We start from the raw sequence: 27,828 nt of genomic DNA on the forward strand, positions 1-27,828 counted from the left end.
ATTTGGGGGAAACAACTGTCCAGAGAAACGGGGAATAATGTTCAACAGGTCTCTAGGTCAATTTAAGTCTCAGTTCCTTAATCTACAAAATAGGGGAGTGGATCAGATATTCTCTAAGAACAATTCTTGCTCTGAGAACTCTTTGATTGTATCTGGGCATTCCTTAATTTGTAAACATACACTATACACTTAGTCATTATGAACAAAACAATTGAAGTGTGTTATTTATATTTCACTAAAAACTGCTACGAATACCTATCCTTGGCTTACAGATAAACATGGGAATAAGGTATTTCAAATACTAAGTGCATATGGTTGAACTACAGGAGGTTCAATGAGCAATGGAAGATAGATAACAAAACTTTTGGTGAAGTTCTACACTGCCTATCTGTCTTTGATGCTTTACTAAAACTTACTGATCTTTTAGAAGGTCTCATATAAATTGCAGGCTACTGTAAAAAAAAAAGTCACTATCATCATTTATTGATAATAGAACACTTTCATTTCCCCTGTTTAAGGTGAGCCCAGAAACTCAAACAATCTAAGTAAAGGGGACTACTTGGAGTTTCCAAGGTAATGAAACCCCCCTTTGTAAAAGAAAACTTGCCTATTCTGAAAGGATTACATCGGTTGGCTGACAAGTTCCTGAGCATGAGAACTCACTTAAGCAGACCGAAATAGAGTAGAGTCTGTTACTAAAAGGAATTGATTCACTCAACCCTTTCACCCCCGCCCTGTTTACCTCCTATGCTTGCCACACCTTTTCACCTGTTTTTGAAGCTCCTTAGGTTCTAGTTAAATTTCAAATATATTTTGGCATTTTCATTCAACAGCCAGTTCTGAACATAATTGGAAGGCAGCCTGGTCCACTGGAAAGAACATAAGCTTTGTAGTAAAATAGATCTTTCCTTGAGTTCTCTACCATTTACCAGTTAGATGACTTTGGGCGAATTACTTAACGTCTCTGAGTTCAGTTTTCCAGCTACATAATTGGAATACTGATGGTATCTTCTCTAAAGATTATTGTAAATAATCAGTAATATATTGTGAGTGAAGCATTTGGCATCATAGGGGCATTTATAAATTAATTACAGCAAGAATTTAGAAGGTAACTACCTTTGATAGAATCTTTGAGTGAAATTATAAACTAATCATGTCACTTTCCTTTTAAATTTTAATGATTCCCCCTTGTTCTTAAAGTCTTCCTCATAGAGCTTACAAGGTCCTTCCTGCTCCAGTTCTAACCTCCCCAATCACATTAACATTCCAGCACCTCCCATTGCCTCCACGCTCCAACCGTATTGAGGGCTTTATTGTGGTTGCTGCTGTATCATAATCTGAGAAACCTCATGCTATTATTTCTTCCTGAAACTCACGCTTTCCCTCCTTGGCCTACAGCTAACTCCAAGTCACCACTCAGCTTTGTTTAGTCACTACTACATTCAATGCCTTCAAAAGACTTCCTGAACAAGCCCAGATTATGGGTTACCATAACATCCTGTATATCCTCTATCATAGTATTTACCACACTTTTCTAGGATTTTCTACTGCAATGTCTATATCTCCCTTATACTGTGAGTTCATTGAGAGCTGGATTGTGTCTGTCTTGTTCGCTTACCATAGGTTAGCACCATCCCTGGCACATACCATGGCAACCACTAAATAATTCATGGTAGACAAATAAATGAAGGTCTAATCTTCATTGTCCATTTTTCCATGTGGCCAGTTACATAGCTTCATGCAGCCATGAGAAAGATATGAGTTTTCTGTTTCTTTCCTACTTACTACTCTCTGTTCTAATAGGAAAGGAGCATATGGATTAGGTAAGAAGCTTAATTGTTGTGGGAAAACTTACAGATTGGCAGGAAAATGGTTAAGATGCTTTCTCCCCAGAGGTCAATCTTGGAGAAACAGGTTTAATCAGTAGAAGGAGTTGATTATATAAATTTAATAATTAAACATGTGTACTGTATTTATGGTATGGTTATAACCACATAAATATATGTATACATATTAATACACATGATGAATAGTAGAGAGAAACAGGAAGATTTGAATTAGTCATTTCTAGGTTTTTTTATTACATCATATTTTTATATACAGTCAAATGTGCTGTAATGCCCACACATTAATGACATAATTTTAAAAAATTAATGAGGATGAAATATGCCTATAACCCTCTCAGGAAATCTACATTTCACTATGTCTTCAGGATTCACTTCCTTTACAAAGTCTTCCCAGATAAGACACTCATCCAATGAGAAAGGTCTTTCTTTACCTTCCATGAAGTCTTTGTCATTTACACAGTCTGAGGTCTGTTTCCTGTATTGCTTTACTCTTGTCTTGGGGTTTTCTTTGTTTGTTTGTTTCCTAATTTCCCAATTATATTTCTTGTTTTCTAAAGTTAGAAGCTTGCTTTTCAAAGATTCCATGGCTTCTAGGATGGCACTGGACCCATAGATGACTCTTCCAAAATATTATTGATTTAATGAATATTGCATAAGAAGATGCATTCTAGAACAAATTAGCAAGTAAGAATGCAGGTCTGTCATTTACTGGGATGTAGGCAATCAGTTCCTGACTTTGTAGGCCATTACGAGGTTTAGAACTCAACTATGTTCTTTTAACCCGTATAATAAATGACAAATTTTAAATTAGGAAAGCAAAGTGAATTTTTCTTTTGAAAAAAAAAAAAACAAAAACAAAATTACCTTCCTTTGGAAATCATTATGAAAAGTTGTGTCTGTAAAGTATGTTACCTTTAAAGACAAAGAAAAAATACAACCAAATAATATGTTACTAGATCATCAATGGGTTTTTACCTGTTCACTAAGTAAATTTTAAAAGAATGAATGAATAACTTTGAATGATTCACAGCAAATTTCTTGCTCAATATTATGAAAATATTTTGTTTAAAAATGCAGTTGATAAGAATGTATTTCTTTTGAGAAACTCCAATGTATTAAAAACATGAAGTTAAGATAGAACTTTCAGTACCTTTAGAGATTGCGATATTAAGATTTTGTGCTTCATCAAATGCTGTGAATCATCAATGTCGTTTGCTGATTGGTATTTCTGGCTCACAATTCCTCTGGTTCACAGCAATTGCTCTTGAAAAAATAAGAAGTCTTTTAATTTTAGATAACACCAAAAAGAGAAGGTTTCAGTTTTAAGAAGTCCCATTGGGATGATAGAAAGCATTGTATGGAGAACTGAAAATGGTCAACCCCTTGAAAATGATCAGTATTCTGTGGTTTTGGACCTTAGTTGAAAATGACATAATCATATTTTCCTGGTCTTATAATGCTCCCTTACCTGAGCAAACTTGCAAGGATAGGAGAGGAAGTCAATGCCCCCACTTTGACCCTTATTCAAACCTCAAGGTTTCAGGAATTCCCAAAGATTTAGAGTAGAAGTACACTGTGCCCTGCACACAGTAGGTACTTCAACGTTTATGTCACACTTTAATCATCAAGCACAATCACAGGACTCCAACTAATGCTTCCCTCAGTGCAGCCCAAGGCACATTCAGCAATCTCACTCAGAACAACCAGGAGAGATACTTAACACAATGTATGCCCTTAGGAAAAAAAAGTAGAATAGCATTATCAAAGGCTCTGATTTCTAGATACAGGTGTGCTCTGACTTTTTCATGCTTTCCTTTTTCTCTCTGAAATATGGGAATAATACCCCCTGTCACTGAGCCACTGGAATGTTGAGGAGACAATGAGTTAGCATTGGAAAACAATTCAGGGTGAAAGGTGCGGATGTGAGCTCAAGGTATTTGTTAATGTTATTACTCAATCCATTCTGGCCCAGTGTGGAAACAAAAGCAACTTTTATTACAAATAACACAACATTGTTAAAATAACCTTAGGAAAGAGAGAATAAATGAATCTACCAAGATAAATAGATAGCAGCTGGGTTATTGAGACCTCATGTTGAGGTTACAGGCTTTTAACACTAAATGCAATGTTCTTTTAATTTTCAAGTAAGAATCATTTGGTGAAAAAAGTAGGTAACCTATTAGTGCCTGTCTATAAAAGAGTGAGGACTTAGATTTCTAAATGCATACTAACAAGTATATTTATAAAGACAGATTTTATTACCTGATTGTATAAAGCAGAAGTCTCCTTTAACAGATTAAAAGAAGAGGTGGGTGGAATATGCTAACAAACAAAGGTCCATGTGTGAATCGGGGGATATTCAGGACTTAACTAGACTTCAGCAGACTCATTTAGGATCTTAAACACTGTCCCAAGTCCAAAATTCACATTTAAGCTGAGAGCAGCTAGGACTTTACTATCTATCTATGGTTTAAGTTGTCTTCCACTCGGCTTGTAAAGCCTAGAGTGTCACTGTTTCTGCCCACAGATAGCTGTCAATCTTGGCCCATAAGGAGATGGAACCATAGGAAATGTTTCATCTCCACTCCCAGCACTTCTTTCCATATAAAAAGATTTCCACTAGCACAGCAGTCCTGACATCTCTGTTCTCAGGAGAAGAGGGAATCATTTAATGTTATTGAGTCCCTTTACCTCCTCATTCTCTTGAGAGCTATGTGCATAGAGAAAGCATACTTTCTGCTCTGCTATTTCAGACCCTACATTTTAGAGTACATTGTCTAATGTTGGAAATAAGGTAGGTAAGTCTCTCTAAATCTGAGATTCAGTGATAGTAAGGCGATCCTCCAAAATCAACTTTAACAATGATAAAATTGATAATTTCCTCTCTATCTATCTTACTCTGTTTTTCAATGACTCAGACTCAGCTGGAGAAGAGAGATGTTCCCTCTCTTGAGCTCACTAAAGACATTCAACAACATGTAATACAATGGGTGGGACATTTGTCTTTTCCAGGCCAAGGAAAAGGAAAACAAACTTAGGTCCCCAAAGACTTAGGATAAAATATCACAGATATAAACTTAGCAAAGTTGAACTCAGCTGTTAGAAAATGGAATTGGATTAGTTTCCTGTGGCTGCTATAACAAATCACCACAAACTCAATGGCTTAAAACCACATAAACTTATCCTCTCACAGTTCTAGGGGACAAAACTCCAAAATCAGTTTCACTAGGCCTACATCCAGGAGTTAGCCAGGCCATGCTCCCTCTGGGAACTCTAAGAGAGAATCTGGCCTTTCCTCTTCCTGCTCATGGGACTGCCAGCACTTCTTGGCTTGTGGCTGCATCACTCCCATCTGCCTCCCTGATCACATTGCCTTCTCCTCGTTGTCAGCTCTCCCTCTGCCTCTCTCTCATAAGGATATACGTGACTGCATCTAGGGCCCATTCTAATAAGCTGTGATAACCTCTTCATCACAATATCCTTAACTTAATCATACCTATAAAGACCTTAAATTTTTAATGTTTTAATTGTTTTTAATTTAAAAATGTCTTTTCTTAGGTTCCTACAGACAGAAACCTTTTTTCTGTATCAGGTAGTATTTACAGATTCTAAGGATTAGGACCTGACGTCCTCGGGGGACTATTTTTCCACATGAGTTCAATAGTCTTGAATAAATATCATTTATATCTCTTTTCTTCTTTTCTCTATGTTCTGAAATTTTACAATTTAAGATGCAAAAATATGTGGTCTAATATCATAGTTTTAGAGAATTAAGAAGGTAAATTCATCCTAGAGTTTGGATCAAACAAATAATATTTAGAAGGAATATATCATAAGGTGATAACTTTGTATGTCGGTATATATGTAAGTGTGGGTGTGTGTAAATCATTAAATTTCCATATATATACCATATAATTTTCTACCTGAAATGTTGTGAGTTAAATCAAAAAATGTAAATTATTCCTACATATCATTAATATTATAAATTCAGGACCATAGTTATTTATATATTTATTTTTAAAATTCTGGTTGAAGCATTTGGTGAAACAGTTCCAGAATTGAGTTTTTTATTCTTTCTATATGTGGAGCATATGGTAAAATTATTCCTATTTCTAATATGAGTTTGGTATTTTATTGTTAAACTCTAGAAAACAACCACCTTTTAGCCAAGAACCTTTGCCCTCTAAGACACACTCAATTGTATTTTACTTTTGCTACCAACATTTAGGGGTTAGTTTACTTTGTGTTATCATATTCCACCAATATTCAAAAGATTTATCACTTGGCAAGAGTTACTGATGACACTCCATGAGTAGGAAACCTCAAATCTTGGTGAAGGGCAGGCACTGAGCTTCTGCTAAGCACTCTCACTAGCTAAGAAACTTGTGCTACATACTACATGTGCCCTGTTTCAGTTAGGACAGGCTATGATATCGTAACAAATAGACCGCCAAATTCAGCTTCTCATGTTTGAGGGAAAAACACATCTATCTCTCTTTTGGACAACAGTCCAGGATGAGGGTTCCAGGTCAGTGGGAGCTCGGCTATATGCAGTGGACCAGGATGGCAAGGGCTCTCCTGAAAGGACAGTAGAGCCCTTGCCATCCTGGTCCACTGCATATAGTCTGCTCCATCTCAGGAAGCCAGAAGGTAGAAGGGGATGCAAAAACACAGCAGTGCAAGAGCTCTAGTATGTGGCCACACAGAATTGCAATGGAGACTGGGAAGTATAGTCTAGCTGTGTGCTCAGGAAGAAGAGGAGAAGGGATTTTGGTAAACAGCTGGCAGTCTTTGCTGCATGCATTATTTCTGCCTCAGCAAAATAAAAGTTGACTATGTAAAACAGAGGTCATGTGTGTAGAGGTCATTGTGTATACCCTTGGGATATACACAAGCATTCAAACCAATGAATAGTGAGAATTTATTCTACCCAAGCAACTATTTATGCCGAATATTCAGAAGGGGAGGGGAGCAGGAAAGAAATGGTTTATTTTCTTTAAATTATTGAAAATATTAGCTTATATCAATTTTCTCAAGTGATGAAAATGCAGGGGTTAAGCCTTTATTTTTTTTTTAAAGTAAATATTAGTATTATGTAGTATATGTTAAGAAGGTTTTTTTCTCTTCATTTCTTAATCTATTGAGGGAAGGACTAGGCAAATGAAGTTAGGCTTCTTTTCTCAGGGGGCCTAACTGTTGGCCCAGGCTGGGTTCCAAGAACTAATACAAGGAATGGTAACTGGTGGGGTTGTCTTTTTGCTGAATGAAGAGAAGAAAAGAAGAATTCCAAGTCTGTTTCCCAGGCACAGGAAGGACCAGGAAGCAAGGAAACTTCCAATTTTCAAGTCCACTGAGCAGAATACAAGAACAGGGTCCAAAACAAAGAGTTCTCCGTTGAGAACCGGCAAGATGGAGCAAGCAAGTCCTGCAGGCAGGCTGGGCCTGGAGAGGCGCCAAGAGGCCACAGCACTCTTGGGAGGAGGTTTTTCTGGACTCTTGAGGAGCTGAGACTTTTATATTCCAACCCTGCCTTTAATTTGAGGTTTGCCTCCTCCCTCCATTTGCAGAAGAGTAATCCGAAGCTAAATCATTCATAACATGAGAATGCTGATCTGTGTCCAGCCCTTGTGAAGGGAAAAGAAAACAAAACTTCACAAACATAATTAGTAGAACTACCTATAAAACCTAATGTTAAAAGAGAAATTAGCTTTCATGGAGAGAAAGTGTGATGGCATGACACAGAAATTAAGTGCACTGAATTTAGATTTGAAAAGAGTTTGATTCAATTCATGTCCCTGCTTCCCAGTAGTCCGTGACCTTGGGCAAGTGACCTATACTCTCTAAATCTTAGTTTCCTTATCTGTAAGATGGGAGATGAAAATAATACCTAATTCATATTTTTTAAGAACTTAATGAAAGAATGTTCAAATGTATCTAATAAGGTATAGGAACTCAACACATGCCAGTTAAACAAATTTCTAATAATTGACTTTCTTATTTCTTCCTTTCTGGGTAAAACAACTGTCCTTTGTATACTTTCATTTTTTGGAGACAGAGTCTCACTCTGTCTTTTTTTGGAGACAGAGACTCACTCTGTCATCCAGGCTGAAGTGCAGTGGTACGATCTCGGCTCACTACAACCTCTGCCTCCCAGTTTAAACAATTCTCCTGCCTCAGCCTCTCGAGTAGCTGGACTAGGACTACAGGCGGGAGCCATCATGCCTGGCTGGTTTTTTTTGTATCTAAGTAGAAATGGGGTTTCACCATGCTGCCCAGGCTGGTCTTGAACTCCTGAGCTCAGGCAATCCACCTGCTTCAGCCTCTCAAAGTGCTAGGATTACAGGCGTGAGCCACTGCACCCGGCCTGCCCCTTGTATACATAAAAAACAATCAATCAAATCTTCCTCCATGACCCCTTAAGCACTATTGAGTAAAGGTGGGATCTTAAGTTGTGACAACTGATATATGTAAAATGTCAATTTAAGAACATCTCCTTTCAGACATGAGTATTTCCCTGCAAACTTAGGTTTATGTCTAAGATCTTAAGGAAATAAATACTATAAAAAGACATAGTTCAAATAATGTATTAATAGAAAAAAGGTCCATAGGAATATCTCAGTGTTTTCTTTTATATGAGATGTATCATATGCTAAGAATATACAATTCTCTAGAATTTATTATTTTTCAAAGTATTCTTTGAGAGGCCATCTCTCCTGTTATTACTTTGTCCAGGTAAGTGGGAATTTCATTCGTGAGGACTCCAAGTCCTATCTATGGAGTCCATTATCACTGGGCATGCCAGTACATCTTCTGGCAAACTGTGACAACAGTCTTCATTGGCAACCGAGAGAACAAAAGAGGATTTTTCTAAAGGTGATGAGGCAGAAAAGGGAAGCAGATGGCCCTGAGGAACACGGAGAAATGTCAAGGGAATTGGCCTCTCTTCTTGGCACTTTGAGGCCTGGCCATGAGGGGTATGTGCCTGTTCATTCCCTCACGAAAAGCGGAGAAGGAAGGATCTAGCCGATTGCACACTAAAGATAACTTGGAAAAGGAACTTGACAGTCCTAGGGAAGAGGAGTTGCAACATAAACTGGAAAGCAGATGAAATCCACTGGTGTGATGAAATTAAAGAGACTTCCCAAATATGCTGGGAAAATCAGTGGAATTTTCAAACCATTGCAAAGTTGTTTCATAAGAATTAGATTAACTAATATTAACTTGTTTCTGGTATGTGTCCAGTACTATGCTAAGTTTGACATGCTTTGCTTCAGTTAATACTCAATCTAGCCCTAAGGGGTAGGCACTAATATTGTCCCCATCATGCAGACCGGAAAATTGAGATTTACAGAGGTTAAGTCTTTAGTCTTAAGTAATTCATGGAATGCAAAGTACAGAGCAAAGATCACTTACCCAGAACTTAGCTAGGAAAAGAAGTGTGTTCATAAATACACTTGTCAGTGATATTTAAATTCTAAGAAAACTTTGCTCACATCTTCTTGAATGAATTGATAACTAGTATAATGTCTGGAAAGGCATGTTTCTCTGAGGTCACATTGCAGCACTTTCAAAAGGGTTTCCCTCAAAGGTGTTTCATCTATTAGTATCAGCAAAAAGATCTCACAGAATGACTAATTTTTAGTAATTATGACCGGCAAGTCTTTGTTGAGTCACTCTCTTCAGAAGTAACACCCTGATTCATCAGATCTGTTTTTAACATTAATTATATTTAACATCTGACATCTTCTTTACCTCTCTCCACATCACTGAATACTACGGAGAAAATAAGGTAAGGCAAACTCAGGTTATGATTAAAATAATAATTGAGCATTAGTGAATTAAATAAAGTAAAAATTGAATGGATTCAACATCCCGTGAAGCAAAACATAAAACATCTTTCATTTCATAAGGTAAAAAAGAACATGAATTTTTCACAATGTCTGATGTTAATGTTGTGCATGGATCACATAATATAAATTAGATGCTTTTATATACAAAAAAATGGTGTTTATGTGATCATCCTAAGAAGTGAGATGAGCAAGGTAGTATCTACTTAAAATATGCTGCCTTTCTATTAAATAACTCATTGTAAAATTGCAAAATGACTTACAATGAACAGCTACAACTTCTAAAATTGTTACTAATGTTTCATTAATAAAGTGTGCCATGGCCTTTCATTAAAGCTGGGTAGTATATGAACCCCTGATGCAGGTATGCAGAAAGATGTCAGCAACACTAGATCAGATGGACTAACTTGGAGAGAAAACTTTTTTTCCCTTGATAGAACAAAAATGTCTGTGGTGACCATTTGTTGTTTTTTGCCAGTCCTGTATCCCCTCCCCTTGTTTTGAGAGTGTCCCTCTGATTTTCTGGGGATCTGCCCATCGCCATTATGAACCATCTTCATGGAACTGTCAAACTATGGATCAAAGTGCAAAGGGGCGAGTTGGCACTTCCTCCCCATCCCTACTCTCACTTGCCAAGACCGATCAGATAGAAGTCCCAGGAATCTGGCCCAAGGACAGAACATGGTTGGAGCTGAGTTTTTTATTTTTTATTTTTATTATATCTTCCCAAAGAGATTGTATCTATTTCTTCACCCAGATCCCCACCACTGCTCTGCATCTATCTCCCTGGAGGTCTGGCTGTGCTTCTATTTCTTAGGTATTGAAAGCTGCTCCACAGTCTTCCACTAAATCCCACTTTTCTTTAAGCTGGCCAGTTTCTGTCTGTTGCTTGCAAAGAAAACGCATTAACTGGTATAGTACAATGTCCTTTCATTTTTACTGAAAATCTTAAATGCTTTTACATCTAAATGAGATCAAACCTTTCCTGAGAATGTTCTTAAAAAAAATAGAACATTTTCAGTGTATGATCAACTCTTCTAGATGAAAACAAAAATTACCAGAATTTAACCTCCATGTCATAATAGATACAAGTAACTACACATAGTAAAAACAAAAGAGTTATCTCTTTTATTCTTCATTTCTTCTAAACTCTTATCATTCTGAGTTATCATCACCGCATGGGGGTGGGGGTGGGGAAATTTAACTCTTTTCTACTTGAAATTTTTCAAAGTCTGTCTTCTAGTATGTTGTTAGAGTCAGTGAGAGGTTGTTGAAAGCTCTCTTTCCAGGTACTAAAAATAGATAAGCTGTATTTCTGGGTTAGGCTAAATGTATGTCCTAAAGATATACTCTAAAGAATGAAAGCATTTTTTTTTTAGACCATTCAGTAAAATTCACTTAGTTTTCAATTATCTGGCCACTTGGAGTTGAAATGGTTAGCAGCTTGAGGTTTGAATTGATTAGATCAATTGAACATAGATCCAGCCATTCACTGAGGAGTGACAGTTACCAGGCCAGGTGTGGGGACTGCCTCTCCTAGAGCCAACATACTAACTCAGCTGAGACTACCCCAGATCTCTTATTATGTTCAAAAACAGCACACATCATATCTGTTTGTTTGATGAAGTATATATACAGAGAAGTGTCTAAAGCATATGGACAGTTTAAGAATGATGATAAAGTAAATACAATCAATATTGATTTTTCATTTATTATATTCAGCATTTTACATCACCTACTGAAAGCTTCCCAAGACTACCATGGCCAAAGTTCCATGCCTGTCGTATGATGACCCTTAGTCATTGTCCTTATCCCTAAGAAAGCACTTATCCCTCTTTGATCTCTTTGCCCAGAACTCACCCATGCACCAGCACTCATGCACAAAACTCATTAAGGACATGGAGTGTACCTTATTTCCACTGTATCACCATGCCCAGGCATGTGGTAGGTCACTTAATAAATAACTGATGACGAATGAATGAATGAAAATAAATATGTGACCCATAATTGTTTTCAAGTAGCTTAGAGTCGGAGAAGGGAAAACAGTAAAACAGTTTAATACAATTTGCTAAGTGTTTTTGATAAGGAGAGCCCAGGACGGGGGCGATTCAGATTCAGACTGGCACCCACCTAGCCCAGATCTTCTTGGAAGTGGTGTGCTGAGCCTTGGTGGGAAAGCAAGTGTCACTAGTTGAGTAGGGTGACAGAAAAGGCATAAAACAGGAGGAACAAGAGATCTGGCAGCTTGAGTTGCCATTAAGTGACTAAGGTACAGTCTAAATCAGAGGTTCGTAATCCATCTCTTCACTTGTGCTTTTTTCTCTTCTGGCAAATGTCTTGAAAGGAAAATCCAAGTCCTTGCTTTCAGAAGGCTTGCCACTTGGTTTCCTTAGAGTTTCCACCAACATGCTGCCTTGTTCCCCTGAGAAAACCGAACTGAAAGATCCATTTGAATTACCTAAATCCCTCCATCTCCTCCTATCAAGTTTTTACCCAGGCCAATTATGGCTAATATTGCCATTTTATAAATGATTCCAGCAAATGCTTTTCAGAGTTCAAATTTTAAAATGCCATCTCTTTTAATATTAGCAAAATGATGATTCAAATTGTCTCTGACAAACTCATGATGCTCACCTCAAATGACATATTCTGGATGAATATTTATTTCCTCTTAATTTTTGTTCTTTGATGTTGCAAATTCTTGAAAATGCATTCCCAGGACAATATTTGTGAGGTAATATGCACTGTACAATTTTTAAAAAGTCCAGAATATACTGTCTTTTTCCGGGACCAGCCCTTATTCCTTCAGAGGCCAGGTAGTATTTCCTCAGTGGCTCCCTGATTCAAGCAGCAATAACTATACAAGGAATGTTTCTTACTCAAAAACCTGGTCCTTGGAGTAGCAACAGAACTCAGGTTCTACCCTGGGTCTATTAAATCATTATCTGCATTTTAACTAGATCCCTATGTGATTTGCAAAAGGTTTAATCTAGTGCACTTACTCTATATGATTGTTAGGGAATGTTTGGAGATACACTATTGAGACAAAATCCTCAAATTCAGGCTCAATGGAAAATAGGATAACACTGACTAGTGAGATAGTGATGACTTTAGGAGTAAGTATTTTAATTGCATCACCAATCTAAATCCATCTCAACTCTCCTTCATCTTCTCTGACTCTATCAAACCAACTATCTTAAATTTCCCCACAACATAATCTTTCTAATTTAGTCAGGTCAAACTTTGCATTGTCTTGCAAATGTTGTGCGTCTTTACTTAGTGTAGTAGTCAGAGTTCTCCAAAAGAACACAAGTAATAGGATGTGGTCACACATATATGAAGAGATTTATTATAAGGAATTGGTCATGCAATCAAGGAGGCTGGCAAGTCCTAAGATTTGCAGGATGAGTCGGCAAGCTGTTGACCCAGGAGAGCTGATAGTTTAGTTCCACCCCAAGTCCAAAGGCCTGACAACCAGGACAGTTGATGGTGTGGTCCATTCCAAAGGCCAGCAGGCTCAAGACTAAGAAAGAACTGATGCTTCAATTTGAGTGTGAAGGCAGGAAAAAAACACCATGTCCTAGTTCAAAGGCCACTAGACACAAAGAATTCTCTCTTAGGGGAGAGTCAGCATTTCCGTTCTATTCAGACCTTCAACTGATTGGATGAGACCCACTTACATTAGGGAGGGCAACCTGTTTTACTCCTTCTACACAATGTTAATCTCTTCCAAACATCCTCATAGGCATACCCAGAATAATGTCTGCCCAAAAATCTAGTTACCTTGTGGCATAGTCAAGGTATTTGACTGTGGCATATAAATATTTATAATGTCCCCATCCCATGGAAATCTCCTCCTTCCACTGCACATCTTCCTAAAGCACAGCTCAAGCCTTTTTTTTTTTTTTTCCAGGAAGCTTTCCCTAACTCCCCTTCATAGATTTCTTCCTTGTCTCAATAGCCTATAGCACTCAGAGAGTCAGTACTAATTGTGGTAAAAAATCTGGTCCTTGGAATAGCAGCAGGGTGATTTGTTTTTATTTTCTACTCTTGCTTTTGGTGTGTTAGATTTATCTCTACCCAATTGGTAATGTATTTTATGATAGCATCCATGCAAAGGCAGTTCAGTCACATGTTTACTGCATACCTCATAGTTCTCAGATGCTCCCCAAATCCTGGCTAATTGATAGTTTCATTTATTTTCCCAATTAAGTTCACAAAAATATTTATCTTAGTATTTTTTTTTTTTTACTAATTAGAAGATACCAGAATATCCTTCCTGCAAGAATTGCCAGTGAAACTTGAGTATTGTTATTACATGTGCACTAACTGGGACCTTCTTGAGACTATGTTGAATTTTTATAGTACCATTTTGTTTAGTACATAAAAATGACACAAGTCTAGAGTGTCATTGAATTCCCACACTGATACTGATTTTTCTGAAAAAAATGTCAGGAAATGGTCTGTTCATATATGTGGCCTACATGATATTGAGTAGGAAGGAATTATGTTGTAATGTCCTAGAGTCACTGCAGCTGGGCAGTTGAGAAAAGATTAATGACAGCACACAGAAAGGACCATAGTGCTGCACAATGGGAAGGTTTGTTTCCAGTCCAGAGTCCAAGCAGAAAATGACTCTTCCTACCCAATGGGGTTTAAAATGCTCATTGGTTCACTTCAGCAAATCACAAACTGACCATGGTCAAAGAGAAAAGATTAAGGTGACACAGCAATTGCAGGAGAGTCCAGAACTCTGAGGCACCTGTAACTCTTCCTGCAGGACATTTATTAGGTTTCTTGAGCACACAAGGAGGAAAGTGATGGCCTTGTAGGGGAGAGTTAGGAAATAGGAGAAACAAGTAGATCTCGGTTTAACCCAGTCTGTATTCCTGTCCATGAGACCAGACAGTTGCCATTGCCAGACCTGCTGCTGGTCTGGGCATCAGTGTTTGTCCTCTTAGCAGCTCCAAGGGTTAGATCCACCACATTCTCTCTGGCAATTACATTGGATCATCAGCTTCCTAGTCTTTGGTGGACTCATTCCCATGCTTATGACACTTTCTCTGGGACTTTTCCCTCTTAAAAACCTAATCCTTACTCACCTAGACTGTACACTTGAAAGAGAAAAGAGGACACTAAAAAAAAAAAAAGAAAAGAAAAAAAAAACTGTGTTTTGGGAAGGCCTGGCCAATATTTGCAGAGTCTGGTGCAAGAGTATAAATGGAGGTTCATATACTATCTGTCTAAATATTTAAAAGTTTAAATTAAGCCAACGAGCTCTTAAATGAAATAGATTCCATCCTTCACTACAAAGGAAGGTTCAAATTCAGGATGCTTGCAATCTTCAGAGGTCCACACTGAAATGTGACAACAGGTAGGGGAGACCCAGCCATTGCCCCCAGGCCTTCTGATTTTGCTGGATCCCTTAACATTCTTGCTATTGGCTCCATATGGTCTGCACAACAAGCATGAGTGCTATGTGAACATCCATGGTGGCCTTTAGGTGTAGTACCATCCACAACCACCCTCACCAAACAAAAACAAAAAAACACACAAGCTAGCTGTTCTTAATCAAAATCTTGGGATTTGGCATAGTCTACCCTTTGGAGAATGGATAAGGCAAAGAGGCCACTACAGGTCCAATAGGTTCAGAGCCTTTCAGGCAGAGAATTCTGGACTCTCCAGAATCCAGACAATAGTCTTAGAAGTGGGGTCCACAGACTTAGTGGAAAGGGACATAGCCAACAGATATCTAGAGTCAAATCTCAAATGTAGGAGGAGCCCAGGGCAAGGGGTTCTCTTCCCGAGCTCAGGGGCAGTACTGAGGCTGGGGGTAGGAGGCTGAAAGGGGATCTTATACATTAGGACAATCATTTGCCACCATACGGCAGAGAAAAATGCAGAGAATACAACCTGATGGAAAATTCACACATATACTACTCAGGTCAGAGAGTTAAGAGCTGTAGTCTCAGGAAATTTCCACACAAACAGGCATTTGGTATTTTCAGCTGATGCTGGAAGAAAACTCAAGTCCTTCACACAGAGCAATTGGGAAAGCCTCCATATACTTGGTGTCGAATGTACAAATGAGAATTCAGACCTTCCTGTGATTTTAGTAAATTCTCTGAAGCAAGATGCAGACTCTCAGCATAACCAGGACAGGACACAAAAAAGAGTGTTCCCAGAAGCTAGAAAAGGAAGAATCAGGACCATCTGAGGTCAACAATTACATTCTTGGTCACAGTTCCTATGATACACTTTTATGGTTTATGGTATAGCAAAATTGTATAGTTTTCTTTCTGAGTCAGTATTCAATCATTCTGAATATATCCCATTGTTATGCTTATGAACCCTCTAAGTTGTATTATTTATAGATACTTACATAGGCAGTAGTGTGTTGGAGCCAGCTCGGACTAGCTTAGAAGAGTCAACTGTGCACGATGCTTTTCAACTCTGTCTTCAGGGACTTCAGGAGCACTGCTTAAAACCGGCCTTGGTGTGAGTACTTTTAATACCGTGGAAATTGGCAAACACTGAAAATCAGGGCTTTTCTTCCCCTGGAGAGCCTTTTGTTACAAATTTACCAGCACACAACTGTACCTAGGCCTAACCTGGGAAAAAATATCAGATAATAGTTCTCTTAATTAATAAGGCTAATTTCTGGGTAGGCTACATATTTATCATCCACAAACACAATTTATATATTCATATCTAAATCTTATTTGAATATATAGTTGTCCAAAATACTTTAGATTTTGTTTTTAAAGGTTATAAACCAAAATATCAGTGTTTAAAAATTGTTGATGTTATCTCCTAGATAATTTTATCCAAACATGGTTTTAAAAAATGATTTATTGCCCAGAAAGGCAATAAAAATTAGTTCTGAGTTAGAAAAATGGAGGAAAAAATTCTCCTGCACCTGGTCAGAAAGTGCTATTTAGCTTTTGAGAATAATTTTGAAGGGCACAAAGGCATTCTCATGTTGATGGTTTCACTCTGGGGTTTGTTTTCTGAAACTGCCTAGAGCACCAAATCCAAAAAAAAAAAAACAAAAAAAAAAACAGGTGTGTGCATTTCCTATGGGAATCTGTCATCCCTCTGGTTCTCCTCTCTTCTAAGAATAAGAAAAATTCAAATTTCCTCTTTCAAGTCATGCTTCAACACGCCAAGGGCAGACACCACACACCTGCTCCTCCGTCCCAGAACGTCAGTCATCATCAGCGGGAAGGCAGGCAGGGACAGGGAGCAGGCACGGGGGGACTGGCAGCCACCTGAAGAACCGGGCACAGCCGTGGTTGTTCTCCATGTCTGGTGGCGGAAAGTCACAACATTTGGAAAAGTCAGAAATGCAGAGCAAGCTAGCTACTTAATTCCTTTACTGGAAATAAAGATGGAAAACAGTTTTTATGGCTTGTCAGCTTTCAGCAGGTTGGGAGAATACTAACCACACGTGCCATCACTCCATTCTTGTGCTAACTTATTTACACCATCTGCGGAGAAAACCACGGGCTAGAAGGAAATTACCTTGACAACTTCTTTTGCCCAAAGAGCTGTTGTATTTTCTCAATGCTCTAGTCTAGACTTGCTCCAAAAACACATTTGAGATGTTGCACTGGAAAGTTTCTCATTTGAATTTACGAGTTCTGACCTGGCTGGGGTTAATTTGTCTAACAAAAAGTAAATACTTTCATTCCTAACCAAATTTTAAAGGATAAATATGTTTAGAGTAAGCATTATAATGTAGGCACCCATTAATTGACTGTAATTGGTAGGTTTAAGAATGAGCCCCCAAAGATAGCCAAGTCCTGAGCCCCCAAAGATAGCCAAGTCCTAATCCCCAGAACCTGTGAATGTGTTCTGTTACTCGGCTAGAAGGACTTTGCAGCTGTGGCTAAGTTGAGGGGCGGGGGAAGAGGGTCCTGGATATCCAGCTGCGCCCAATGTAATCACAAGCACCCTTGTAAGAGGGAGGTGGGAGGGCTAGAGTGAGATAAGCAGAGATTTGAAAACATTACCCTGCTGTCTTTAAAGATGGAGAAAGAGGGGCCGGGCGCGGTGGCTCACGCCTGGAATCCAGCACTCTGGGAGGCCAAGGCGGGCGGATCACGAGGTCAGGAGATCCAGGCCATCCTGGCTAACACGGTGAAACCCCGTCTCTACTAAAAATACAAAAACTTAGCCGGGCGTCGTGGCAGGCGCCTGTAGTCCCAGCTACTCGGGAGGCTGAAGCAGGAGAATGGCGTGAACCTGGGAGGCGGAGCTTGCGTCTCAAAAAAAAAAAAAAAAGATAGAGCAAGACGTCTGGAGACCAGGAATACAGGTAGCTTCTAAAAGGTGGAAAAGGCAATTAAGTGGATTTACCCATAAAACCTCCAGAGGAACACAGCCCTACAGAGACCGTGATTTTAACCCAGTGAAAGCCACTGTGGACTTCTGACCTCCGGAACTGTACAAAAATAAATCGGTGTTGTTTTAAGCCACGAATGTGATATATCAGAAGTAGGGAACTAATACATTTACGAAGCAAGACCTAAAAGTCTGTTTAACTTTTATGGAGGAAATTGTATCCAAAATTCACAAAATTAGGGACCATATGATTACATTTCACCATACACTGTCACAATTATATGCAAATGACTATGCACGAGGTTATACTCAAGGTGTTTGTGTTTCAACAACAGTGTTTTCATTTTAATGCTAGAGGATACGTTTTAGAGTTGAGAAACATACCATACCATCAGTACACATAGACATATTTAGAATATGAACGCAGATTCAGCACTGCTGAAGTAAACAGGTTGCCAGTTAATTCTGATAACTTGACTTTTTGATGAGTAAAATCTCACCTTCTGTGGAAATGGAGTTTGCGTGCATGTGTGCAGTTAACTGGAAAGATTGTAGGAAGCAAACGAGCCTATTTTAAGAATGTTCTCTAAAACTTCAAGGGAAGTCGAAGTTTGATTTTCACTCCCTACCACCTCAAAAATAAAACCAAAAATAAGGCAGGGCCATGTGGCAGGTAAGGTGCCAAGGTGTGCAGGGGAGGGGACAGCCCAATAGTCACTGGCTCATAAACAGTGGTGAGTGAAGCTGATGGGGTACCAGCAGAGCAATCTCTTCAGAAGCAGGCAGTTGAGGCTCGATCCTACAAATGGGCCCTAAGCCAAAGACTATGGGTTTTCACAAATTTGTCTCTTACCTTAGAAACCATGAGACCAAGTGAGACCAAAAACAAACATCAAAAAAACAAAAACAAAAAGCCCCCACAATTCTCTGAGGCTTATTTTGGAGAGAAGCTCTAGCCAGCTGCCGCAAACTTCTCTTTGTTACTGTTTACATATGGCGGACGGATGTAGATGCACTGGGCTGAATGTGGAAGGCATAGTGAAAGGTGGCAACCCCGTGGAAAAAAGCATCTCTGATGTTCATGTACTTACCAAAATTAAGGTAATGAGATGTTAGATGGCCATTTCTGAAGCCTGCTACCTTGACGGGATGTGGGGAAAGTATCTGGATTGGGGGACAAAGCATCACAAACTCTGAGTCACCAGTTTCCCTTTATTTAGCAATTAGAGGGTTATTTAGGGAACTCTGGATGTGAGCCTCAGGACTGTGCATTGAGCCACGTGCAATAGCAGTAAGTCCTGACCCATATCCACTTGGCCTGGAATTGGTGAGTAAGACCCTTAGAAAAGCAGTACTCGCTGATAGTTTTCCAAAGAGTACCAAAAGCTAGAAACTCCTGTCTGGATGAATAAGGCAAGGCTGTACTGATGCCCTTGTGTGGAAAGGCTTGTTCGTTTTTGTTTTTTTGATGTTTGTTTTTGGTCTCATTTGGTCTCATGGTTTCTAAGGTGAGAGACAAGTTTGTGAAAACCCATAGTCTTTGGCTTAGGGCTCATTTGTAGGATCGAGCCTCATCTGCCTGCTTCTGAAGAGATTGCTCTGCTGGTACCCCAGCAGCTTCACTCACCACCGTTTATGAGCCAGTGACTATTGGGCTGTCCCCTCCCCTGCACACCCTGGCACCTTACCTGGCACATGGCCCTGCCTTATTTTTGGTTTTATTTTTGAAGTGGTAGGGAGGGAAAATCATTACATTAATTTCTCTGTCTCCACTCAGCTGCTCCCAACAGACCATTCTTACCTTTGCAGCAGTGACCAGCGTTCTCCATCTCTTACTTTCATGTCTACCTAGCTGGTGAGGCTTTTAAAAATTGTGCATGAGAGGAACATGCATCATTCCAGTGACGTCTCTCTTCCCTCCCCCCGCCCCCGATATTAAAGCTGCTCAATTTAGACCCTGAATTAGTAGTTTGTAAACTATATTGATTCACAGACCCCTTTTAAATTCTAATAAAAGATGTGCATACATCCTCCTCCCCTAGACAGGAGATTGTGTGTATGCAAATACTTATACACCAAGTGCAACATATATTTGCATAAGTTCACGAATTCCCCCAAAGTTCATTTACAGAGGACCATGTAAAAAAAAAAAAGCCCTCACCTTAAAGGATTATTTCACCCTGTTTTGGGGTTGCCAAGAGCTTTAAAAAGAGAGAAGGAGTGCAGTGATGCATGTGCTTTTTTAAAAAAGACAGCTTGGTTCTTTCTATGAGTTGTTGAACAGTTGAAAAGCAAATAAACGTCAGTGGATCTGAATCCCAACATTGTTTAATGACAACCCTGCCATATTTGCCAACTTGCTGCTTAACAACAATCCTGTTGACACTGTGTAAAAAGCTTTCCAGGTCCTCCCAGGTAAATAACCCACTCCTACCGGTCACCTGGCCGCCCAGCTGAGCTCTTTCATGAATACACACAGAATTCATGAAGATGAGTCATTCTTCTGCCAAATGTACCTTGATGTATTATAGCTTTTACTTCTTCATGCTATCATTTCATACACTAATCTCACAAAGACGATTGTAAGAAGAAAGTCAATTTAAGTAGAAATCTATGACTGAAATGATATAAAGAATAAAATGTCCCTATTTGTGAAAATTGTAAACGCCTAACTTTTCTGAATCATTTGGGTTTGCATTTCTCTAGTATGTGTAGCATATTTGATAAATGAAAAAAGATTTTTTTTTTTGGTAGGAGGAGGGATTTATTTCATTTGCTCCTGAAGTTAAATCTCATGAAATCATGTGAAATTCAGTGATGTGTTACTGGGAACAAAAAGGGTAAGTTGTTTTATTTCATTAAAAATTATAACAAAATCATAGATTCATCATAAGCAAATGGGAGAAGTGGTAGGTTTCCTTAGGAAGAAAAAGAATGGAGCAGAACTTTTGATGAAGAAAAAGAATTGTGGGGTAGAAGGTAGATAAACAGCATTGTGCTGTTGCTGGCTGGCTCTAATGGTAATTTGATCGCTCTCAGAGCAGCAGCCTGGCAAGAAGCCTAAAGGAGCACAGAACTAACCCATGGAAGAAGGGGGTGGGGAATGGAATTTGTTGGATTCGCTAATTAGGCCCTTTCCTAACAGCCAAGAAGGAAATGGATTACCTGTGGCTGTGACTAAGAGACTTATGGCCAACAAGCCAAGTTACCTGCATGAGGTTCTGCCAAGAAGTATTAGACTAACTCCAGCTTTCACAGTGGTTTTACTCAAGTTTGGAAAACAGGCAGGAATATCTGGAAAAAGTCAGGTGACAGTTTTAACTTTGAACAGCAAATGAAGTTAACAAAAAGATTTCCCAAAGTCAAAAGTGATTTAAACTGCTAGAATAAATCTTAAATGCCAGAATTCAGATTGGAGGCAGAAAGATCAGCAAAGACAGGGCTCTGCTATGTGAGAGGAGCCTGAATTGAAATTGCAGTATAATGAAATTTTAGAGGACAGAGGCATATTAGATATTTCATTTTCCCCTCACTCTTGCATCTTGCATATGAGGAAACTCGGGTTCACAGAGCTTCTATGTCACTATATGACTTACCTAGGATCCTATACTTGATGTCAAACCTAATAGGTTATGGAGTCCCTGAGGACTAGTTCGGGGACACTGAAAATAGAGAAATGGATGCAAGAGGTACTGCAATGAAAAACCAATGCTGATTAAGAACAACTGAAGAAGCTGCAACTTAGTGGAAAAGACACCAAATTGTAAGCAGGTATTGGCATGATTGACAACTAATTTTAGTGCTTTATTCCCCATGGAAGGCTCTTTTTAGCTTTTTCTTGGGTTAGGAACTTTTTTTAAAAAGTACATTCTAATCACCCTTTCTATAGCCATGTCTGCAGAAAACCAAAAACAATAGACACAGTGAAGTGGTTTTTACCACTACAAATTGTCAAGAAAATGACATAATCTATACTGTTCTTCTTATTGAAACAGAAAGTCCTTAGAAATGTTATTATATTATTTGTACATCTCTAGAATGATTTAAGATAGGGACTTCTAATTACTTCTAGTTATAAATTGAGAACGAATTTTAAGTGGAATCTAATCATTATTAGATTCTAATATTCTCATAAACTTTATCTAAGGAGCTGAAGGTCTAGAAACCTGCAGTAAAAAGAAAGGGGCACCTTGGCTGTATTGTTAATATATATAAATCTTAACTCTTATAGAACACTTTCCAAAGTTTTTTAATATCACACAAAAGTAGGGGAAAGACTTCTGGGAAGTTTTCTGCTGTTTAATAAGGAACTTTGTGTATTGGAATGTCATTAATATTATTGAATCAAGAAAAATGGATCTGTGGTCTGTATATTTAAAGTTCATTTAAATTGTTAAATGATTATCTCAGATGTCACTATCTTGGAAATTGTAGAAATAAGACACCTTCAATATAACTATTATTTTGGTGTTTTGTGCTCATAGATACAGAAAGAGTGATTTAAGAAGCACTATAAAAATATATGGATATTTCCAGGCCAGGCCTGGTGGCTCATGCCTATAATTCCATCACTTTGGGAGGCTGAGGCAGGCAGATCATGAGGTCAGGAGTTCGAGACCAGCCTGGCCAACATGGTGAAACCCTGTCTCTACTAAAAATACAAAAATTAGCCAGGCATGGTGGTGGGTACCTGTAATCCCAGCTACTCAGGAGGCTGAGGCAGGAGGATCGCTTGAACCTGGGAGGCAAAGGTTGCAGTGAGCTGAGATCATGCCACTGCATTCCAGCCTGGGCGACAAGAGCAAGACTGTCTCAAAAAAAAAAAAAAAAAGATATTGCCAAGGAAAAGCTAAAAAGAAGCATAAAATTAGCTCTAAATCATGCTAATAGGTGATCTCAATTTGGCATCTTTTTTGCTAATTAGTAATTTATTCAATTGTTGTTTATCTACAATTAGTTTTTCATAGTCTTGGATTAAAACACAATGTCCACTGACATAACGTAAAGCCATGGTAAAATTTACCAGAGCCCCTGATTTAAGCACTCTATTAAACGAATCCAAAGATATTAAATGAAAGAAGTGGACTTTATCCTTTTTATTTTCATAATTTTCATTTTATGAGATAAATTATTTTAATTTTACATGACCATTTAGGTATTTCAATAATGAGAATAAACCATTTGAAAATAAGTCAGTGGTAGTAGTATATAAAAGCATTTGACATAAAGGAGAAAATGTCTAACATATTTTGAACATCTCTTCAAAAGGATATGATAAATATTAAGTATTATAACAACATAATTTGTTTTGCTGTTAATCACCAAAGCCCATAGGATAAAACCTCATCTAAAGGCTGTCTTCAAAAGAGACAGAAAGTACAGAAATATCAGTGGATATTTATGAACTATAAACTCAAAACTGTAAAAGTGTATTTCAGAAAAGAAGCACAGCATAGTACATCACTTATATTTTAGATATTCATAATTTGAATATTCCATAGCCATAGCATTTGAAATAGAAAGCATCGAAGAAGTGGTTGACAGTGGCTATTTAAGAACTAGGTCTTATTTCTTAAGCATGAAATGGCAACAGCAATGACGGAGCAAGTGTTGAATTCATTCTGCCAGGATTTGGGAATAAACTGATGAAGTTCCAAGCAGAGTGACTCTGCATATCACTCCCATCTCCAGGAAGCTGCCACAGCAAGGGCTCTCAGTTATGTTTCCAGTCGAATTATCAGAAAGTAAATGTGAAATCAGAGCATGAACTTACCCTTCAGAGAACTTCCATATTACTCATGGTATTTGGACAATTCTAACCCCAAATCATGCAAGGGAGGCCTGGAAGCAACCAGAGTTCACCTTCAGTTGCTGGCACTTGAAACGTACTGGAGCCAACCTACAAATGCCAACATATTTTCTTGTATTCTCCGTTTTTTTCTGTTTAAAATTTATGTCAATACGCACTAATCATTTTACCGTAAAAAGATTAAGTCCTTTAAAATACACGAACACATTTAGAATTTTTGTTTTATTTATCAACTTCCAGCCTATGTATGTTTTTGTATTATACATTCTAGTGTTACATATGTCAGGCGTCTCTGAGTCTTCCTCCTCATGTGCCATGCCGGCTGCAGCTTCTGCTCTCCTGTGGTGTTACATACCTGTCCTACATAATTGCAAATTATCTAATTGCAGATATTCTCATTGTACCAATAGTGAAAGAAAAAGGCAAAGTCACTCAGGTCTGAGAGTTATAAACCTGAACAGAAACCTTGGTAATCTCTGGGTATTAATAACCTTAATAATCTTTTATTCAGGCAACATAATATTACCTGTTATAATTCCAATAATACTATGTATAGCATCTTCTTTTAATCACTGCAAGATGAAATATTATGAATTCACAGCACCATGTAAATTCCAGTTTTGGATGGAGTTCTGTAATTGTTTAATCACAAACACACAGACCCATGAAGAAACAGTTTGTTAAGAGAGAGAGGGAGAGAGGAAGAGAGCACTTCCATTTGATCTTGAATAATGTAATAAAAATATATTTCGTATCACTTCTGTGAGAAAACAATAGCATAATTAAATATACAGTCTTAATAAACACCAAAATCTCTATTTTATGCCATTTGTAAAAATTATTTGGGATAATCAAGAGAGCTCAGATGAAAGAGTAATAGCCAGAATCGAGCATTTGCTTGTCATTCATTTAACCGGTACTCACTGAACAAATGGAAAGCACTTGAAGGAGAAGAGAGATTCCTTTCCTTTCCCTAGACTTCAACCTTTCTACTTCATAAGACTAGACCTCTAAAATGTTTATGTACCCACTTGCCTAGACAAACATTCATATAATCACACTGGTTGGTGCCAGTGTGCGTGTGCTGTTGTTGGGGATGTTGTTGATGGGGAAATGGTACAAAAGGTGGGCAGAGAGCAGAACTGTTACCTAGAGATGGAGAGAAATTGGGGCAACTCTCATTAGTTTATTCATTCATGGGTTCACTCATTGATTCATTCCATCTTTAATTTATTTCATGTAACATATTTCCTGAGAACCTACTGTGTTGCAAGCATTGAGCTAGCACAGCTATCCTCCTTTCAGATAGCTAACTAGCCAGCTGAAAATGAGTTGCTGTAATTTTACAGAGGAAATAACTCAAATAACAACTTGTAGTATTTTCAGTACTTTTAGTAGTTTGCTTCACTAACACAAAAATGTATTTTTTAAAAAAGGGAAAAAAACTGAGTGGTGCAACGAAAAGCAAAAATACTTTCCTAATTACAGATGTCCATCTGTGGGTCTATTAGTCTTAAATTACCAGTGATTAAATTCTAATTGTAGCAGAGAAACAAGCTTCTAGGCAGTTAAAAAGAAAAACAACAAAACCAAACAGTGAAACAGAGTACAATGAATACGGGTAATTTATCTATCTCTACATTTAAGCTATATCTAAGAGCGAGCCTGTCTCCTTGCACACCTTTTCTCTGCTTTCAAGAAATAAGACAGTGTTTTCAATGAAGTTATGAATCTCTTATCCAAACAGCGAGCTCGAGTATGAAATATGCATGTTAGCAAGTGATAAACACTTTGAAAGGAAATTTTGATAAATTTTCTCATTTGAAGCCAGTTCCCTTTAAGAAGCTAGACATATGTTTTATGTGTAATTACATAACAACAATTCTATAGAAAAAAATAAATCTCTTCTCCAGAGTTAACGAGATCCTTTCTTTGCAAGAAGTAGAGAGTAGAGTGCATTCCTGCTCTGCAATCCTGAATTTTGCTCAGGGGCATGTAACAGTATCTGAGCCTGCAAGGGCACCCGTCTTCCTACCAATTTCTCAGCCCATTACTAGAGTACCTTAGGCATCAGCTGAGGTGCCTTGTCTTTTTCAACTCAGTGGAATGGACTTGAGCCTTATCCCACACGTGGTGGTAACCCCATATTCCTCATTCTTACCATAAATTCTAACAGGGAAGGGGAAGGTGAGGATGGTATGTGCTTTTCCTGGCCAATTCTGACTCTGAATTGCTTCTTCTAAGGTTACGTTATTAATTGTGATGCCTTCCCACAAGAGCTGTGTCTGTACTGTGCCACATAACCCCTGAAGCTGAATAAAGAACTTTCTCCTTGATTCCCCCAGCCCTCCAAAAACATCAGGTGAGTGTGTAGCACTTTCTATTAAAGGTCTGGGGATAACAAGGTAATTTATACAGTTATCCCACTGGTGCTGCTGCTTCAGAGCTTTCCTCAAATTTCTATTCCTTTCACTTTATTAGACAGAAGAGTTATGCTCTCCACCCTTGCATAACCACAGACACATCAACAGGCTGGTGTAAACAAGGGGCTATCTAGTATTGCTCTTTCCCTGTAGTGGTACTAGAGAGAGCCACTGAAATCCAGGTCTTTGCTTTAGTCAGCCCCAATTAGACTCTCCAGAGAAGGGAATGGTATTGATTGACTTCTCTTGATATGAGTTTGTCACTCCCCATATAAAGCAAAGTAGCTATAGTTCCTTTGGGTTTAAAATAACCATTTGATTTATTTCCATTATACTAAATGGCCTTCAGTATTACAGATTTTGTTTTGCCTGCCACGGGATCACAAGCAAAGCCTTCTCCATACGGACAGGCTTGGAGACAGCCTCAAGACTTAAACTTTCATTGGTCATGTCAGCATACTGTAATTTACTTTGTGCCCACATGATACACCTATATTCATAACAACCAAGCAAAATAAGTACTAATGTTCCCTATTTTATAGATAAGGAGACTGAGGTCAGAGAAATAACTTGCATAAAATTACATGGGAAATGGGAGCTTGGACAGATGTGGAACCGAGATCTGCCAGCTGGCAAGGCTGTGTGCCCTTTCCATCATATCCTGGTTCTAGGAGAAAAAGACGTTAAGCTGTATTTTCCAAAGTATTTGATCTCCCAACCCTGGGAAACTTTGTTTTTAAGACTTTCTCAAACAGCCTCTCATATTCTCCCAGCAGGTGATGAGGTCCCATTGTAAATGACCCAAGGACAAACAGCTCATGACTTCAAAGGAGGCCTCTTCAACCCAGGGCAAATTCAGGCCTTCATTCCAGGGGTCTGTAAGCAAGTACTGAGTGAAGAGATATCCTAAAATCAATCGGTAAATTGCATGTTTGAAGTAAACTAAAAACCAAATTTCAGGGTTGATGCTGGCTTTGGAGGAGATGGGAAAATCATTTGTTTGGAGACAAGAAGCATGTTATGCCGGTAGATGTGTGCACATATGCTTCTATAAGTGGGTACATGCATTCCCACTTTTCCTGCCAAGTCTTTAGAAAACCACTTAAGTAAGAATGGAGAAATGTAGCATTGTAGCTTCCCTACAGTTTGTGTTCATTTTGTTTATTGCAGTAAAATATATATATATAAAATGCAAAATTAATTTCTGAGTACACAATTGAGTGGCATTACATATATTCACATTGTTGTGCAGCCATCACCACTATTTAACTTAGCATAATGTTTTCAAGGTTTGTGCTACTGTTTTAATTGTTTGCCTCTTTGCAGTTCCTCTTTGCCAACCCTGGATAATGGCAACAACTTCTTTAGTGGCATGCTGCATGCTCTGTTTGGTCATGTCCAGAGATACCCAAGATAAAGAAGTTTGATAAATATACACATTAACTCAGCAAAAATAACATGGTTATTTTCATGAATATTGCACTTGGGCACATCAGCAAAATTCAAAAGTGATAAAAGGTGAGCATTGTATATGAATTTTGCATATGTACATGGTA

The 27,828-nt window shown here is 38.3% G+C and overlaps 2 long non-coding RNA genes and 2 other non-coding genes across 4 annotated transcripts in view, besides 1 other annotated feature; 2 read left to right on the plus strand and 2 right to left on the minus strand.

The window, feature by feature from the left end:
• Positions 1-6,391: 6,391 nt before the first annotated feature.
• On the minus strand, positions 6,392-6,471 carry MIR4776-2 (microRNA 4776-2). The gene has a single exon (NR_039936.1). It is a non-coding gene; the product is annotated as a microRNA 4776-2 (primary transcript).
• On the plus strand, positions 6,392-6,471 carry MIR4776-1 (microRNA 4776-1). Its single transcript, NR_039935.1, has one exon. It is a non-coding gene; the product is annotated as a microRNA 4776-1 (primary transcript).
• Positions 8,903-10,102: an enhancer, noted in NCBI's record as "CDK7 strongly-dependent group 2 enhancer chr2:213793492-213794691 (GRCh37/hg19 assembly coordinates)". NCBI's record gives its function as "activates an origin of replication core promoter dependent on BRD2, BRD4, P300/CBP, MED14 and CDK7 cofactors, with strong dependence on CDK7, by STARR-seq in HCT116 cells {active_cell/tissue: HCT116}" and the evidence as "EXISTENCE:reporter gene assay evidence [ECO:0000049][PMID:35650434]".
• The window catches only part of LOC102725082 (uncharacterized), a 56,826-nt gene continuing 42,018 nt past the window's right edge, over positions 13,021-27,828 (minus strand). The window contains exons 3-4 of the long non-coding RNA XR_007088066.1: positions 21,250-23,939; positions 13,021-17,002 (exon numbers count right to left, since the gene is read on the minus strand). This is a non-coding gene — a long non-coding RNA (uncharacterized LOC102725082). The remainder of the gene's footprint in view (positions 17,003-21,249; positions 23,940-27,828) is intronic.
• Positions 16,126-27,784, plus strand: LOC107985980 (uncharacterized). Its single transcript, XR_007088067.1, has 5 exons — positions 16,126-16,192; positions 20,795-20,880; positions 26,094-26,211; positions 27,046-27,191; positions 27,599-27,784. It is a non-coding gene; the product is annotated as an uncharacterized LOC107985980 (long non-coding RNA).

Source organism: Homo sapiens, chromosome 2, assembly GCF_000001405.40.
Source record: "Homo sapiens chromosome 2, GRCh38.p14 Primary Assembly".
Classification (NCBI taxonomy): Eukaryota; Metazoa; Chordata; class Mammalia; order Primates; family Hominidae; genus Homo; species Homo sapiens.